The sequence below is a fragment of the Homo sapiens genome, chromosome 1, assembly GCF_000001405.40.
Source record: "Homo sapiens chromosome 1, GRCh38.p14 Primary Assembly".
Classification (NCBI taxonomy): domain Eukaryota; kingdom Metazoa; phylum Chordata; class Mammalia; order Primates; family Hominidae; genus Homo; species Homo sapiens.
Genome location: NC_000001.11, coordinates 15,900,163 through 15,915,778, shown reverse-complemented (window position 1 = coordinate 15,915,778; position 15,616 = coordinate 15,900,163). Strand labels below are relative to the sequence as shown.

Here is a 15,616-nt window from a genome sequence, read left to right as displayed (position 1 = left end):
TCGCTGGAGCCCCAGAGTTTGAGACTAGCCTGGGCAACATGTTGAAACCCCATCTCTACCAAAAAAAATACAAAAAATTAGCCAAGTATGGTGGCGCACGCCTGTATTCTCAGCTATTTGGGAAGCGGAGGTGGGAGAATAGCATGAGAATGGGAAGTTGAGGCTGCAGTGAACTGTGATCACGCCACTGCACTCCAGGCTGGGTGATGGCAGTGAGAGAACCTGTCTCAAAAATAAAATAGAAAAAATAAAATAGATAGATATCTTTGCTAAGGTGATCTGTTGTTTTTGGGACAGAGTCTCGCTCTGCCACCCAGACTGGAGTGTACTGGCAGGATCATGGCTCACTGGAGCCTCAACCTCCCAGGCTCAAGCAATCCTCCAACCTCAGCCTCCTAAGTAGCTGGGACCACCAGTGCATGCCACCATGCCTAGCTAGTTTTTCCACCCCCCCAGCCTGTTGCCCAGGCTGGTCTCTGGGCTCAAGCAATCCTCCTGCCTCAGCCTCCCAAAGTGCTGGGATGACAGGCGTGAGCCACTGCACTTGGCCTGATTTGTTTTAAAAATAATCACTGACACAGAAATAGATTTTAAACCCCAGCAAAAATGGTAATTAATTATTTGAGCCTAATCCTAGTTTCCAAAATTACGTAGCAGGCTCTCAATTTGGCGTATAAAACTATACTCTGAAATAGACATAAAAACTCAGCTGAAAATAGTCCACCTTCATTGTTTAATTTCATTTACTTTTCAACATTTTATAAGATATTTAGCATTTCGCCCCTCTCATACTAACACAATAAATCAACTGTCTAAATACGGAAATTTTAGATATAAGAGTAACTATGAAAACAGATTAAAGCAATATGTTTTAAATTATCTTTTGATATTGCATGGTCCCCAGTGACAAACAGAAATGATTGTTACGGCTTCTTCTTCTTCTTTTTTTTCTTTGAGATGGAGTTTCACTCTTGTCACCCAGGCTGGAGTGCAGCGGAGCAATCTCGGCTCACTGCAACCTCTGCCTCCTGGGTTCAAGCAATTCTCCTGCCTCAGCCTCCCAAGTGGCTGGGATTACAGGTGCCCGCCATCATGCCTGGCCAAATTTTTGTATTTTTAGTAGAGACGGGGTTTCGCCATGTTGGGCAGGCTACTCTCGAACTCCTGACCTCAGGTGATCCGCCCGCCTCAACCTCCCAAAGTGCTGAGATTACAGGTGTGAGCCACGACGTCCAGCCTCTATTTTTTATGGTCAAAAGCAATGGCTTAATTTCTAATTTATCATAGCCTTTCTCTGAAGCTCCATTTATAAACTTGGTCTAGGGCAGGAACGCTCAAGGTTTTGTTGATAACAATTATAGGAAACTACTGTGTGTTCTTTTTTCTTAATGTAAAACAAAGCCATCCAAAAAATTAATATTTAATCAACTTTACTGAAATGAAGCATTTAGAGCCAGCCATTGAACATTACTGATAATGTCAACAACACTGGTATTTTTAAAAACTCAATTTCAGGGACCTTGAGTTAAGTCAGAATACATCTCACTTCTGAGTCCAGACTGATGGCTCCAATGGTAGCTCAACTAATGTTACCCCTTTCGATCAATCAGACTATGATGTACTTTCACATGAAACTCAGGTGGACTCAGAAACTACCCAGGACTCATAATAGCTGTCTCCATATATTCTGCATATCTCAAAGGAACATATCTCATTTTAAGCTCAATTTGGTCTTAATTTAAATGTGCACAGACATTTAATAATATTTCAAAAAATTCAGATAGAATATTGAGGTTTGTGCTCCGAAAGGCAGAAACACAAGAAGAAAGCATGATTTGCAACTATTAAAATCTGTAACGGCTTCATTCCCACCAAATGGCCTGCCTGGTGCATTTTCTTTCTTTCTTTTTTTCTCCCCCTTGGAGACAGGGTCTTGCTCTGTTGCCCAGGCTGGAGTGCAGTGGTGGGATCATAGCTTACTGCAGCCTCAAACTCCTGGGCTTAAGCAATCCTCCCACCTCAGCCTGGCTACCTGGCTGATTTTTTATTTTTTGTAGAGATGGGGTCTCCCTTTGTTGCCCAGGCACATCTCAAACTCCTGGGCTCAAGCGATCCTCCTGCCTCAGCCTCCCAAACTGTTTACAGGCATGAGCTTGGTCAGGCATGGTGGCTCATGCCTATAATCCTAGCACTTTGGGAGGCCAAGGCAGGAGGATCGCTTGAGCCCAGGAGGTCGAGGTTTTGGTGAGCCATGATTATGACACTACACTCTAGCCTGGGTGGCAACAGAGTGAGACCCTGTCTCCAATCAATCAATCAATCAATCAAGGTGTGAGCCACCACGCTCAGCAGTAAATTTTCAAGATCGGAAATTCAGTTAGCAAAAAAAAAAGTTTTCCACGTGTAGTCCACTTAACCTTCACAACCAGTCAAAGTCTTAATGCCTACACACCTTTGGGAAAAAACTTCTTGAACTTGTAATTTCATGTTTAGGGGATTGTAATGCAATGTATGGGAAAAGAAATCTTAGAAGCCACCAATGGGTCTATATGCAAAGTTAGGTTTCTTGGATTTGGATCTTTGAAAATAATCCTTGACCTAAGCAATCAGCTCAATACATTTCAATATAACATTAATGATTTAACCATCTGAGAGCATAATTCCAACCTAGTCTCCATACTCAAAATTCAACTGCTTTCACATATCCCATTTAACTGGTTTTAATGTTGTCCTATCTGGGAAAAGTAGTTAGCTTTTCTATACTTGAACCAACCAAACTTCTCAAAATTTTCACTGGCAAGTAGGTAAAGCCTATTTCCTAGGTGCTAAATAACTAGGTTAAAAGCTTTTTACAGTAAAAATCTCAAGCTAGCCCTACCATCTAGAGATAAAAGTTACATACTGAATGCCCCTGGATGAGATCCTCCTTACTTAATAATTATAATTGGCTCTAGAAACATATATGACATTCTAAATGTTTCTCAAGCCGTTCTGACCTGTTCCAAATGTGTTAAATTTTAAAGAACTCCTGGAGTTGCTCTTAGCTTAGTAAAATTTAGGGCAATCCATCTCAAACTTGATGGAAGAAGGACTGTGAAGGCTTAACCTATTATCCTTTGAAAAGATAATATTCCTTTGAATTGTTATGTTTCATTGTAACATCACAGAGTGACCATTTTGCAGTGGTCACCCTAACAATTCCGTGCCAGTTTTACCATACAAATAACATATTTGTGCATCCTCACCAGGGGAACTACATTTTTTTCTTTTTAATTATCTAATAAATGAATATTACAAGAATATTCATATTTATCCTATAACAGGCCATGTTTACCCTATAAATTCCACTTAAAGTCTTAAAGTTCAAGTGTCTCAGCTTCATAAAGTGACTATAAATTTTTAATGTTTCTATTGATTCCTTTACAAATTTATTCACAAGTTCTGTTAAATCAGGGGTTCCCAAACTTAAGTGTATAAACTCTGAATCAGTAAGCTGGGGCAGGGTTAAAGAGCCTGCATTTTTAAACAAGTACTGCAGGCGGTCCTGAAACAGGAGAAATGCCAATGCAAGCCACGTGTGAGAAGATTTCCTGCCTTATAACAGGTTCCACAGGTAGGTTCAAGATAATAAATGTTCCCTGGAAATTCTCAGTGGGTTGCACCCATAAGGCTTATTCCTGTTACTCTGTCTTCAAGGTCATGCAAGCTGGAAAAACAGACCCAACTTGTATTGGACATAATAGAAATAAAACTGGTCTAACAAGTCCCCCACATCAATATTAAGTAATTTGTTTCTTTTTTCTTTTTATTTATTTATTGAGATGCAGTCTTGCTCTGTTGCCCAGGCTGGAGTGCAGTGGTGCAATCTCAGCTCACTACAACCTTGACCTCCCGGGTTCACACGATTCTCCCGCCTCAGCCTCCCAAGTAGCTGGGATTACAGGCGTGCGCCACCACGCCCAGCTAATTTTTGTATTTCTAGTAGAAACAGGGTTTCACCATGTTGGCCAGGCTGGTCTTGAACTCCTGACCTCAGATGATCCACCCACCTCAGCCTCCCAAAGTGCTGGGATTACAGGCATGAGCCACTGCGCCCAACCAGAAGTAGTTTCCTTTCCAATTCAAGGTAATTCTGTTGTCACACTCCTAGGAGCTACCTCCTAGTTTTGATAAATTCAATCCTTTTGGGAAGGCTGGACTCAATAAGGGTCTACACAGTTCTGCCTTTCAGACTCTTAACAGTCAGCAAGGCTCCATTACAGCAACAGAAAAATCTATCCTCCCTAACCAAAACAATGTTTTTTATTAAGTTGAACAATAAATAGAACCATCTTTTAAAACAGAAGACAATGGAAATATGTCAATAAATAAAGCCAGAATAGTGTCCTCATTCAGGATCATATGCTGCCCTCTCATACACTGCAACACAAACAGTGTGTGTGATGAGTAACTCAAACTCAGCTTGCTTGTGTCTTACCTGGACCTATCCATGCTGTTACTTCAATCTGCATGCCAAAGAAAAGTTTTCCTTTTGATGCAGTCAAGGCTTTTTCTTGGTCCTCTTGCTGCCGAAAGAATACCAGACCATACCTCTCTTCTGAAGTTCCATGTATCTGCACTGAAGTTACTTTTCCAAATTTCTTAAATTCATGGAAAAGGCCATCTTTAAGGCTTGTATCTAAATTCCCAAAAAAAACCAAGTTATTAATTCTTCTAATTTAATTATAACTAAATAAGCAACCTACTAAATCTTTAGCCTGATTTTCTCATTTTTTTGTTCATGTCAGACAGGTAATATACTAATGTCATAACAAGGTCTGAGGGAGGCACACCTCACACAGCATGAAAACCCAATCATCATGCTTATGAACCACAAAAGGATCTAGCTTGAGATTTGACTTAAATTTTATTGTCATTAAAACATTACTTTTTCAAACAAAAAAGCTCTAAAAACACGGTTTCGAGATTATTGTACAATTCTGAAAATAAACTGTTAGATGATAGTATTGGTTATTTTGTTAGGTAAGAATGATACTGTGGTTATCCAGAAAAATGCCCTTATATATTATAGATATATACATAAATATACGTGTGTAAATAGGTATGAAATAAAACAACATCAAGGATTCACCTTAAAGGTAAAAAAAAAAACAAAAAACAGTAGGAAAGCAGGAAGACAGGAAACAGATAAAGCAAAAATGCAAAATGATGATTTCTGAATCTTGGATATTATATAAGGGGAGTTCATTTTGCTATTCCTTCTACTTTGGGGTAGGTTTCATAATAAAACTTTTACATGTCTGTTTATAAAGTGTTAAAGACTTGAAATGGAAAGGCATCGTCTATCTTTCCAAGGATCATCTCAATGATAAAATTGTGTGAGAAGTGTCATGTAGCATGCTAAACAATTTTAGTATCCTTTACAGATGAATCATACCATCTGGGGGTCTTGTGTTAATTTGCTTTATTAGAAATATAAAAGGTGTATAGAAAGGCAAGCCAATTTTACTCCCTTGTCCATTTCTAAATTACCAAGTACTCTAAATCAAAAGCTCATCAACATTAGTATCTCAATAACTCTATTCACAAACCTGATACATAAGTTTTTAGGCTATTTTAGTAAATAATTTTTTTTTTTTTTTTTTTTTTTTTTTAGAGACAGAGTCTCGCTCTGTCGCCCAGGCTGGAGTGCAGTGGCCTGACCTCAGCTCACTGCAAACTCCGCCTCCTGGGTTCACGCCATTCTCCTGCCTCAGCCTCCCGAGTAGCTGGGACTACAGACGCCCGCCACCACGCCCAGCTAATTTTTGTATTTTTAGTAGAGACGGGGTTTCACCATGTTAGCCAGGATGGTCTCGATCTCCTGACCTCGTGATCCGCCCGCCTCGGCCTCCCAAAGTGCTGGGATTACAGGCATGAGCCACCGCGCCTGGCCCCTATTTTAGTAAATAATTTAAGCAATCACTGAAATACACTTAGCTAAAAAATACTTAATTTGGTCTTTGTTGGCATGACTATCTACTAATAGTTTTAACTTGTTTACATGCTCAACATGACCAATGTAGGAGTAACAGTATATTACGGTCAGCTGTCAATTAAAAATATTACCAGTAGAGACCACAGAATAGCTTAAGCAGACTTTTCCATTATTCATGGCTTTCCTCATTTAAAACGTTAATATTTCGAAATGGGTTTTCCATTATAATTTTATGCCCAAAGTTATTTCAATGTAATGCAGTATCATACCTCATTCCTCAGTAGTAGCACAGAGGAAAGGACATTCACACAAAATTTTACCTGTAGAGCGTACTGGAAGATTCTGGACCTTGATGCCAAAACTTTTACGGGGCTCATCTTTTTCCAGAGATGAAAGCAACTGGGAAGTGGGTGCAGGGACTGCTGCAGACTGAACTGATCGAGCTGGAGAATCATCACTTGAACTACTGCTGGAATCACTGCTGCAAAAAGGCAACAACAACAAACTTTAGTGAAAAGACAAACAGAAAATGAGCAGCATTAGAAAACTTCTTAAAATAACTAATAGGTCTAAATTTTCAGACTGGAATTTCTGGAGGCCCTGCATTCTACACATCTATCTCGTACTCTACCTTCAGAGGTGGCAGAAGACAATAAATATGCAGGAGCACAAAAGTATAATCTTCATTTACCACCACATACCACCAATGCAAGTGTTGCATTCTATTAATAACTTGAACTTTTTTTTTTCAAATGAAGTAAGACTAGTGAATTCAATTCACTTAGTGTAATAATAATAATAGTGCGTATATGGGTTTGGGATTCAGAGGTCTAGATTCAAATCTTGGATCAGACATATAGCACATGTCCGTGGACAAATCACTTAACACCTTTGAAATGGGTTTCCTATCATAATTTTATGCCTAAAGTTACCACATGGAACACAGGACTATCAGCCAACATAATGAAACTAAATGAAAATAGTATTTCTAAAATTGCATCATACCCAATTTCCCCCAATATCAAGTGTGTAAAATGAAAATAATTATAATAGTACCTATATCACAGGGTTAAGAATTAAATAAAACAGATGGGGCTCAGTGGCTCACGCCTGTAATGCCAGCACTTTAGGAGGCCAAGGCGGGTGAGGTCAAGAAACTGAGATCATCCTGGCCAACATGGTGAAAACCCGTCTCTACTAAAAATATAAAAATTAGCTGGGTGTGGTGGCGTGCGCCTGCAGTCCCAGCCACTCGGGAGGCTGAGGCAGGAGAATGGCGTGAACCTGGGAGGCAGACGTTGCAGTGAGCCAAGATCGCATCACTGCACTCCCGCCTGGGTGACAGAGCAAGACTCCATCTTAGAAAAAAAAAAAGAATTAAAGAAACGCAAAAGTTTAGAGAGTTTGGAATATGACAGGTATCCAATAAATAAAACAGGGCCGGGTGTGGTGGCTCACACCTATAATCCCAGCACTTTGGGAGGCAGAAGTGGCAGGATCGCTCGAAGCCAGGAGTTTGAGACCAGCCTGGGTAACAGAGTCAGGCCTTGTCTTTAAAACAAACAAAACAAACAAATAAATAAATAAATGAAGCAGCACTGCTCAGTTACTGTTAGTAGTAGTAGTAGTAGCACTACTACCTCATGGGTAATTTTTAGGAAAACAATACCCAAAATAATTTTCCAGGTAGGTGCAATTTTTAAATTACTGAAGGACTAATGAATAAATATTATGTAAGTTACTAGATCATGTTACTTTAGGCTTTCTTCACTGTGATAACATGGAAAGGTGAGAGTTAATGAAACTAATCTCTTCAGTTTAATAAAATCCTCAAACAGAAAGAGAGTCAACTGAAGGACAAGAAGGAAATGCTACTTACACAGTCAAATTAAGAAAAAAATACATTTAAATAAGTTTATTATGCCTTACTTCTCTATGCAAGTTCATAGAAAAAAACTTTATTATGCCTAAGAACTATGTGAGAAACATAAAATTCTCTTTTCAGTACTGGACATGCAAGACTTTTGTGGCTTGCTTTTATGGCATTCTCAAATAGGTTAATAAAAAGTTATTTACAGATTTTGCTATCTTTCTGAAATTTTGCTTCATATTCTCCCCCATGTTATAGAGGCCTCACTTTTCAAGCAAATCATTTTGAGTGGTGAATCCATCTTAAGCACACTAGCTACAGGAAAAGACCCAGGGTAGTTTCTGTCTTTGCACTAGAACTACAGCTCTCATATTCAGGACAATCACTAATCCATTCAGACAAATGAGTCCAAGTTTAGGTTGAAAAAAATTTGCTACAGACCTTTTTTTTTCTTTTGAGACACAGTCTCGCTCTGTTGTCCAGGCTGGAGTGCAGTGGTGCGATCGTGGCTCACTGCAACCTCCACCTCTTGGGTTCAAGTGATTCTCGTGCCTCCCGAGTAGCTGGGATTACAGGCACGCACCACCATGCCCAGCTATTTTTTATATTTTTAGTGGAGACAGGGTTTCACCATGTTGCCCAGGTTGGTCTCAAACTCCTGACCTCAAGTGATCCGCCCACCTCAGCCTCCCAATGTGCTGGGAATACAGGCATGAGCCAACACATCCAGCCGCTACAGCATTTTTTTAAAACTAAATAAGTTCTATGTTTTCTTATAGAAAACTAAAGATGTTTCTAGAAAACTAATAATTTACACACCATTTTTAGCTCTCACATGTTAAAGCAATAGATGAAAACTTGACTGGGTGCAGTGGCTTAGTTCCTGTAATCCCACTACTTTGAGGCAGGAGGACTGCTTGAGGCCAGGAGTTCAAAACCAGCCTGGTCAACATAGCAACACCCCATCCCCTACAAAAGAAAAATTAAAAAATTAGCTGGGCATGGTGGCACGTACCTGTAATCCCAGCTACTGGGGAGGCTGAGGCAGAGGATCACGAGCCTAGGAGTTTGAGGTTGCAGTGAGCCATGGTCATACCACTACACTCCAGCCTAGGCAACAGAGAGAGACTCTGTCTCAAAAAAAAAAAAAAAAAAAAAGATGAAAACATGCCGAGTGCAGTGGCTCACGACCGTAATCCCAGCACTCTGGGAGGCCAAGGCAGGTGAATCACTTGCGGCCAGGAGTTCGAGGCTAGCCTGGCCAACATGGTGAAACCTCATCTCTACTAGAAATACAAAAATTAGCCAGGCTTGGTGGCACATGACGTGCCTGTAATCCAAGCTACTCTGGAAGCTGAGGCATGAGAATCACTTGAACCAGGGAGGCAGAAGCTGCATTAAACTCTGATCACACCACTGCACTCCAGCCTGGACAACAGAGCGAGACTGTCTCAAAAAAAAAAAAAAAAAAAAAAAAAGGAAAGAAAGAAAAGAAAAAGAAAGCTTAATAAGGTTATCAGCACTTTCTGATAGTGGTTTGAAATGTAGGAAAATAAACCTCTGTCAGTGCAAACTACTAAGGATAAAGGCCTTGAGATAAAATCATAAGCTGTCATTGCTAGGCCCCTTATCAATGAATTAGGTTTAGCTTTCCCATCTATAAGAAGAAAAAATGTTTGCTGATCATCCAGCAAAAGCAGTGTTACAAGTATTAAGTAAATACTATCCTGAATACGATATTGTCATTGACATTAGGGTTTAATGAAATCAATCTTCTGTTTTTAGCACAGAAGGAAAAAGATACTTGTTATACATGTTAAATACTCCAAGTAATATTAATACAAGATTATTCACAAGGCCACCAGATGACAGTATAGAATATGTTATGTGACTTATCAACTTAGTCAATGGCAATAATCATAAAGTAAACATTAAGGAAAATATTTTAATTACAATACTACCAATATTATATACACCAAATTTCCTTAGCAACAGTGGTTACAGAAGTAAACAATCACGAGCAAAAGCAAAATTTACGGCTATTGAAATCATTAACAAGGGCCGAGCACGGTAGCTCATGCCTGTAATCCCAGCACTTTGGGAGGCTGAGGCAGGCAGATCACGAGGTCAAGAGATCAAGACCATCCTGGCCAACATGGTGAAACCCGGTCTCTACTAAAAATACAAAAAAATTGGCTGGGCATGGTGGCGTGCGTCTGTAGTCCCAGCTACTCGGGAGGCTGAGGCAGGAGAACTGCTTGAACCCGGGAGGTGGAGGTTGCAGTGAGCCAAGATTGCACTACTCCACTCCAGCCTGGGGACAGAGCAAGACTCCATCTCAAAAAAAGAAAAAAGAAATCATTAATAAGGCAACAAAAAGTTCTACACAAGTTTGTATTATAAAAATGAAGGCCAGGCATGGTAGCTAACACCTGTAATCCCAGCACTTTGGGAGGCCAAGGCAGATGGATCACCTGAGGTCAGGAGTTTGAGACCAGCCTGGCCAACATGGTGAAACCCCATCTCTGCTAAAAATACAAAAGTTAGCTGGGCGTGGCAGCTCATGCCTGTAATCCCAGCTACTCAGGAGGCTGAGGCAGGAGAATCGCTTGAACCCGGGAGGCGGAGGTTGCAGTGAGCCGAGATCATGCCATTGCACTCCAGCCTGGGCAACAACAGCAAAACTCCATCTTGAAAAATAAATAAAATAAAATAAAAATAAAAATAAAAATAAAAATGGAGATGGCTGGACGCAGTGGCTCACACCTGTAAGCCCAGCACTTTGGGAGGCTGAAGCAGGTAGATTACCTGAGGTCAGGAGTCTGAGACCAGCCTGGCCAACATGGTGAAATACCATCTGTACTAAAAATAGAAAATTAGCCAGGTGTGGTGGTGTGTGTGTGTAATCCCAGCTACTCCGGAGGCTGAAGCAGGAGAATCACTTGAACCCAAGAGGCAGAGGTCGCAGTGAGCCAAGGTTGCGCCATTGCACTCCAGCCTGGGCAATAAGGGCGAAACTCCGTCTCAAAAAAAAAAAAAAGAGAGAGACAAAGATAATCAATCAATGGTGATAATGCCTTTAAAATAAAGTATAAAAATAATGGCAGAAATCAGATTTATTGTAAACATTTAAACAGATTTATTATAAACATTATCACAGGCCATTATTATAAACATTATTACAGGCACGGTGGCTCATGCCTGTAATCCCAGCACTTTGGGAGGCCGAGTCAGGTGAATCACCTGAGCTCAGAAGTTTGAGACCTCAAAAAAAAAAAAAAAATTATCACACTCTTTTTGGGTGAATCCCCTGCTACCACACCAATTCTGAAACAAGATATAGAATTTAACTTTCAGAATCATCTGCTGAATAATGTGAAGTGGCAACTAGAAGGGGAGACTGGTTTTAAAATTAATTATGAAACAATAAAAATGGTACAAGTTTTTAGTTCACTTTTTTTTTTTTTTTTTTTTTTTTTGAGATGGAGTTTCGCTCTTATTGCCCAGGCTGGAGTGCTGCTCACTGCAACCTCCACCTTCCAGGTTCAAGTGATTCTCCTGCCTCAGCCTCCCAAGTAGTTTGTTGGCCGCCAGGCCCAGGTGATTTTGTATTTTTAGTAGAGACAGGGTTTCACCATGTTGGTGAGGCTGGTCTCGAACTCCTGACCTCAAGTAATCCACCCGCCTTGGCCTCCCAAAGTGCTGGGATTACAGGCATAAGCCACCGCGCTCGGCCTCGAGTTCACATTGTGATATGCTAACCTAAACTACAATGTACCATGGATTTCAAGATCTTGAATCAAAATGAGGGCATGAATGTAGGCCCCTAAATACTTTCAGTCTTACTAAATTGACAGAAGGCCCAAATGCCTGGAATTCTTGTCCATTTTAATTTTTAAAAATTTTTTATGTTCTCAATTTTGTTAGAGCTAAAGAATCACAACAGTTCATCAAAATGCATGATATAGTATTCAGTTGTTTCTTAAAAGCCAAAAATAGTTCATCAGAAGCTAATCTAAGTTGTCTTAAAGAAGTAGTAATAATGGTATATTGACTAATTGTTTTAAGAAAGTGGAATTTACCCAAGCACAACAATATTACATGTTCAATATCAATTAAAAGTATCATTCTAAATAAAGAATTGGAAGCCGGGCACAGTGCATAGTCCCAGCTACTCTGGAGGCTGAGGCAGGAGGATCCCTTGAGCTCAGGAGTTTGAGACCAGCATGCACATGACATGGCAAGACCCCAGTCTTTTCATAAACAACAACAATTTGAGGCCAGGCACAATACTTTGGGAGGCCAAGGCAGGCAGATCACTTGAGCCCAGGAGTTTGAGACCAGCCTGCGCAACAGGACAAAACCCCATCTCTACAAAAAATTAGGCATGGTGGCATGCGCCTGTGGTCCCAGCTCCCTAGGAGTCTAAGGTGGGAGGATTATCTAAGCCCAGGAGGTTGAGGCGTAGTGAGGTGTGATGGTGCCACTGCACTCCAGCCTGGGCTGGAACACAATTTAAAAGAAACCTAGTTCCACTTTTCCTAACCACATTTCCAAAGACAATTAAGGACAAATTATTTCTTATAATTTGTAATTAAGATTATTGAAAAAATGAAGAACCAGATCTGACCAGTATTTCCTTATGAAGAAATATAAGAGTAGGCAACTGGTTACATAACAATTCTTAATAAACGAACAGAATATAGGATGCTAGGATTCTCATAAACCAAATAATGATATCATGCCATCAACTAATCCTATTCCTGCAGCCATTTTACAAACAGAACTACATGAGCATTTGACTCTTACCACTGAAAATGCCAAGGCACTGAGTATGCTATTTATAAGATGACTCAGGGATATATTTGTTAACGTACAAGAGTGACATCCAGTTACTGACTTCTGTATCCCTCTATTATTTGTAAACATTCACTTACGGCAAATATGCATCTATACTGGTTTTTTTTTTAAAGCTGGAAGACTAAAAGACATTTAACCAAATTAAGTTGAGAAACAAAACTCTGGCATAAACCAATATTTTCAGAAAGGAGCGATTAGGGCAATTAGAAAACACTGCAACTAACATAGTTAGAGGGCCCATTTGTCATAACCAGGTATCTCCCTAACCATCAGGTAGCTAATAATTTTTCTCTCCATATAATCAATATATAATTTGGGGTCAAAAGAAAAGATTTTCAATCAGGTTTGGGTGCCCACTGGTCCTTATCTAATTTCTATTAGAATAATCATCTATTTTATTTTAACTTTTATTTATTTTATTTTTTGTAGAGACGGGGTCTTACTTTGTTGCCCAGGCTGATCTCCAATTCCTGGGCTCAAACGACCTTCCCACCTCGGCCTCCAAAAGTGCAGATTATAGGCGTGAGCCACCATTCCTGGCCCATAATCTCTTAAACAGAATGCATCACCACAGCAAGTAATAATACTTCCACATCTCATTTTTTTTATAAGTCCAAATTGTATCTTTCTAGTGCAGCAGTTATCTAAGTGTAAGAGGACCTGTGAGGACCCAAAATCCTTTTAGGAGATCTGTGAGACCTTCCCTATTTCAACTGTGTATCTGTGTGAGGCCAAATTTTCTTCATATACTTCACCCAAAAAACCTTATAATCACAGTTTGAATACAGAATTGGTTATGAGAATCTAACTATCTTACTAAACCAGACGTTTAAAAGATTTTCAGGCCGGGCACAGTGGCTCACGCCTGTAATCCCAGCACTTTGGGAGGCTGAGGCAGGAAGATCACTTGAGGTCAGGAGTTTGAGATCAGCCTGGCCAACATGGCGAAACCCTAACTCTGCTAAAAATACAAATATTAGCGGGGCGTGGTGGCACATGCCTGTAGTCCCAGCTACTTGGGAGGCTAAGGCATGAGAATCGTTTGAACCTGGGAAGTGGAGGTTGCAGCGAGCCGAAATCATGCCACTGCATTCTAGCCTGGGTGACAGAGTAAGACTGTCTCAAAAAAAAAAAAAAAAAAAACTAAATAAATAAGTAAAAAATAAAAGGTTTTCAAAAAATAAAACGTCATTCTCACTAAAATAAAAATTTTAAAGTTTAAATTTCAATACGGCAAATGTCAATAGATACTGTCCACAATAAATGAAAGCCCAATAATTTTAAAATGTAAAGTCAAGCCTAGAAAGTTTTAAAAACAGTTCAGCAGTCTGATGTGACACCATTACCATTTTCAACTCCACCACTTCTGATGTAATCTGAATTTAAGCCTCTTTTGTTGGTGTTTTTTTTTTTTTTTTTTTTGAGATGGAGTCTCACTTTGTCACCCAGGCTGGAGTGCAGTGGCGTGATCTCGGCTCACTGCAACTTCCGATCCCCAGGTTCAAATGATCCCCCCAACTCAGCCTTCTGGGTAGCTGGGACCACAGACCACACGTATGAACCACCACGCCCAGCTATTTTTTTTGTTTGCATTTTTAGTAGAGACAGGGTCTTGCCATGTTGTCTAGGGTGGTCTCGAACTTCTGAGCTCAAGCAATCTGCTGACCTCGGCCTCCTGGCTCATTACAGGCATGAGCCACCACGCCCAGCCTATTTTTTTTTTATTTTTATTTTTTATTTTTTTATTTTTTTTTACCAGACAGAGTCTCTACTCTTTCGCTCAGGCTGGAGTACAGCGGCGCAATCTTGGCTCACTGAAACCCCTGCCTCCCAGGTTCTAGCAATTCTGCTGCCTCAGCCGCCCCTACACCTTTTTTTTTTTTAAGGGACGAGGTATTACTATGTTGCCCAGGCTGGCCTCAAACTCCTGGGCTCAAACGTCCTCCCGTCTCAGTCACCCTAGAAGAAGCTGGAACTACATGCATACACCACCACACCTGACTCAAGCCTCTATTTTTTTTTTACTCCAAAAAATAACAAGGAAATAATCAACTGAGTGACCTGCCAAGACACTTCATTTTGCCTCTCTTAACTTGAATTTCCCTAGCGGTTAGCAGACCTCATGATCTTTCAAGGACCCTACTAGTTTTAGCAGGGTTCTACAACATTTTTGTTGTCACAGTGGGGGTGGGGTGGGGTAGGGTTACTGGCATCTACCAAGTACCCTACAGTGCACAGGAAAGTCCCAACAAAGAGTTCTCTGGTCTCAAATGTGAATAGTGCCAAGACTGAGAAACCCTGGCCTGTATTATTTCTTGGACTGCTTTCCCATCTTTTGAAAAACCAACATGCTAATTTCAAGCTGCAATCCAAACGCAGGATCCTTAACATTGATTATTCTTCCTCATTACTAATGTATCATTTCATAAAAATCTTTGAATTGTAAGAAAAAAATGTAAACTTCTGAAAATCAAACTTCCTCAAGAAGAAGCTGAGATCTAAAACACTCTGGTGTCACTTGATTTTGGACAACCTGATAAAAAGGTAAAGTATAAACAACTTTTTTACAATATTAACTTCACCATTCAAAACCAAGGTCACTACTTTATAGACAAAACCATTTTATAATTTTTAAACAAGTAGTAAGTAAAATATATACAATATTGCTTACTCATACTCTAGTGTAAGGTTTACATCAATGAAAACGATTCCATTCATATTGAAATGGTTTTTACCGCAACAGCTTTCCTTACCGTCAACCTAGGGCCTGAAGGTGGTAGTTTAATATCACAATTAGATTTTTCCTCACCAAAGTACAATGCTCAGAAGAAATTAGAAAAAGGTCTATTTTACACAATAAGGTTAATAGGGTATTTTGCTTTATAATTTTAAGACATTTTTAATTTCGT

The 15,616-nt window shown here is 39.9% G+C and overlaps 1 protein-coding gene and 1 non-coding gene across 2 annotated transcripts in view, besides 2 other annotated features; both read right to left on the bottom strand.

Annotated features, from left to right (window-relative positions):
• The window catches only part of SPEN (spen family transcriptional repressor), a 92,750-nt gene that overhangs the window by 24,678 nt on the left and 52,456 nt on the right, over nt 1–15,616 (bottom strand). The window contains exons 4-5 of the mRNA NM_015001.3: nt 6,298–6,458; nt 4,478–4,678 (exon numbers count right to left, since the gene is read on the bottom strand). Of these exons, the coding sequence (NP_055816.2) occupies nt 4,478–4,678; nt 6,298–6,458 (362 nt within the window). The remainder of the gene's footprint in view (nt 1–4,477; nt 4,679–6,297; nt 6,459–15,616) is intronic.
• Nucleotides 3,579–3,779: a silencer, noted in NCBI's record as "peak84 fragment used in MPRA reporter construct". NCBI's record gives its function as "represses an SCP1 promoter by STARR-seq MPRAs in K562 erythroleukemia cells {active_cell/tissue: K562}" and the evidence as "EXISTENCE:reporter gene assay evidence [ECO:0000049][PMID:32103011]".
• LOC124904815 (small nucleolar RNA U13) lies at nt 4,782–4,882 on the bottom strand. Its single transcript, XR_007067411.1, has one exon. It is a non-coding gene; the product is annotated as a small nucleolar RNA U13 (small nucleolar RNA).
• Nucleotides 7,999–8,199: a silencer, noted in NCBI's record as "peak83 fragment used in MPRA reporter construct". NCBI's record gives its function as "represses an SCP1 promoter by STARR-seq MPRAs in K562 erythroleukemia cells {active_cell/tissue: K562}" and the evidence as "EXISTENCE:reporter gene assay evidence [ECO:0000049][PMID:32103011]".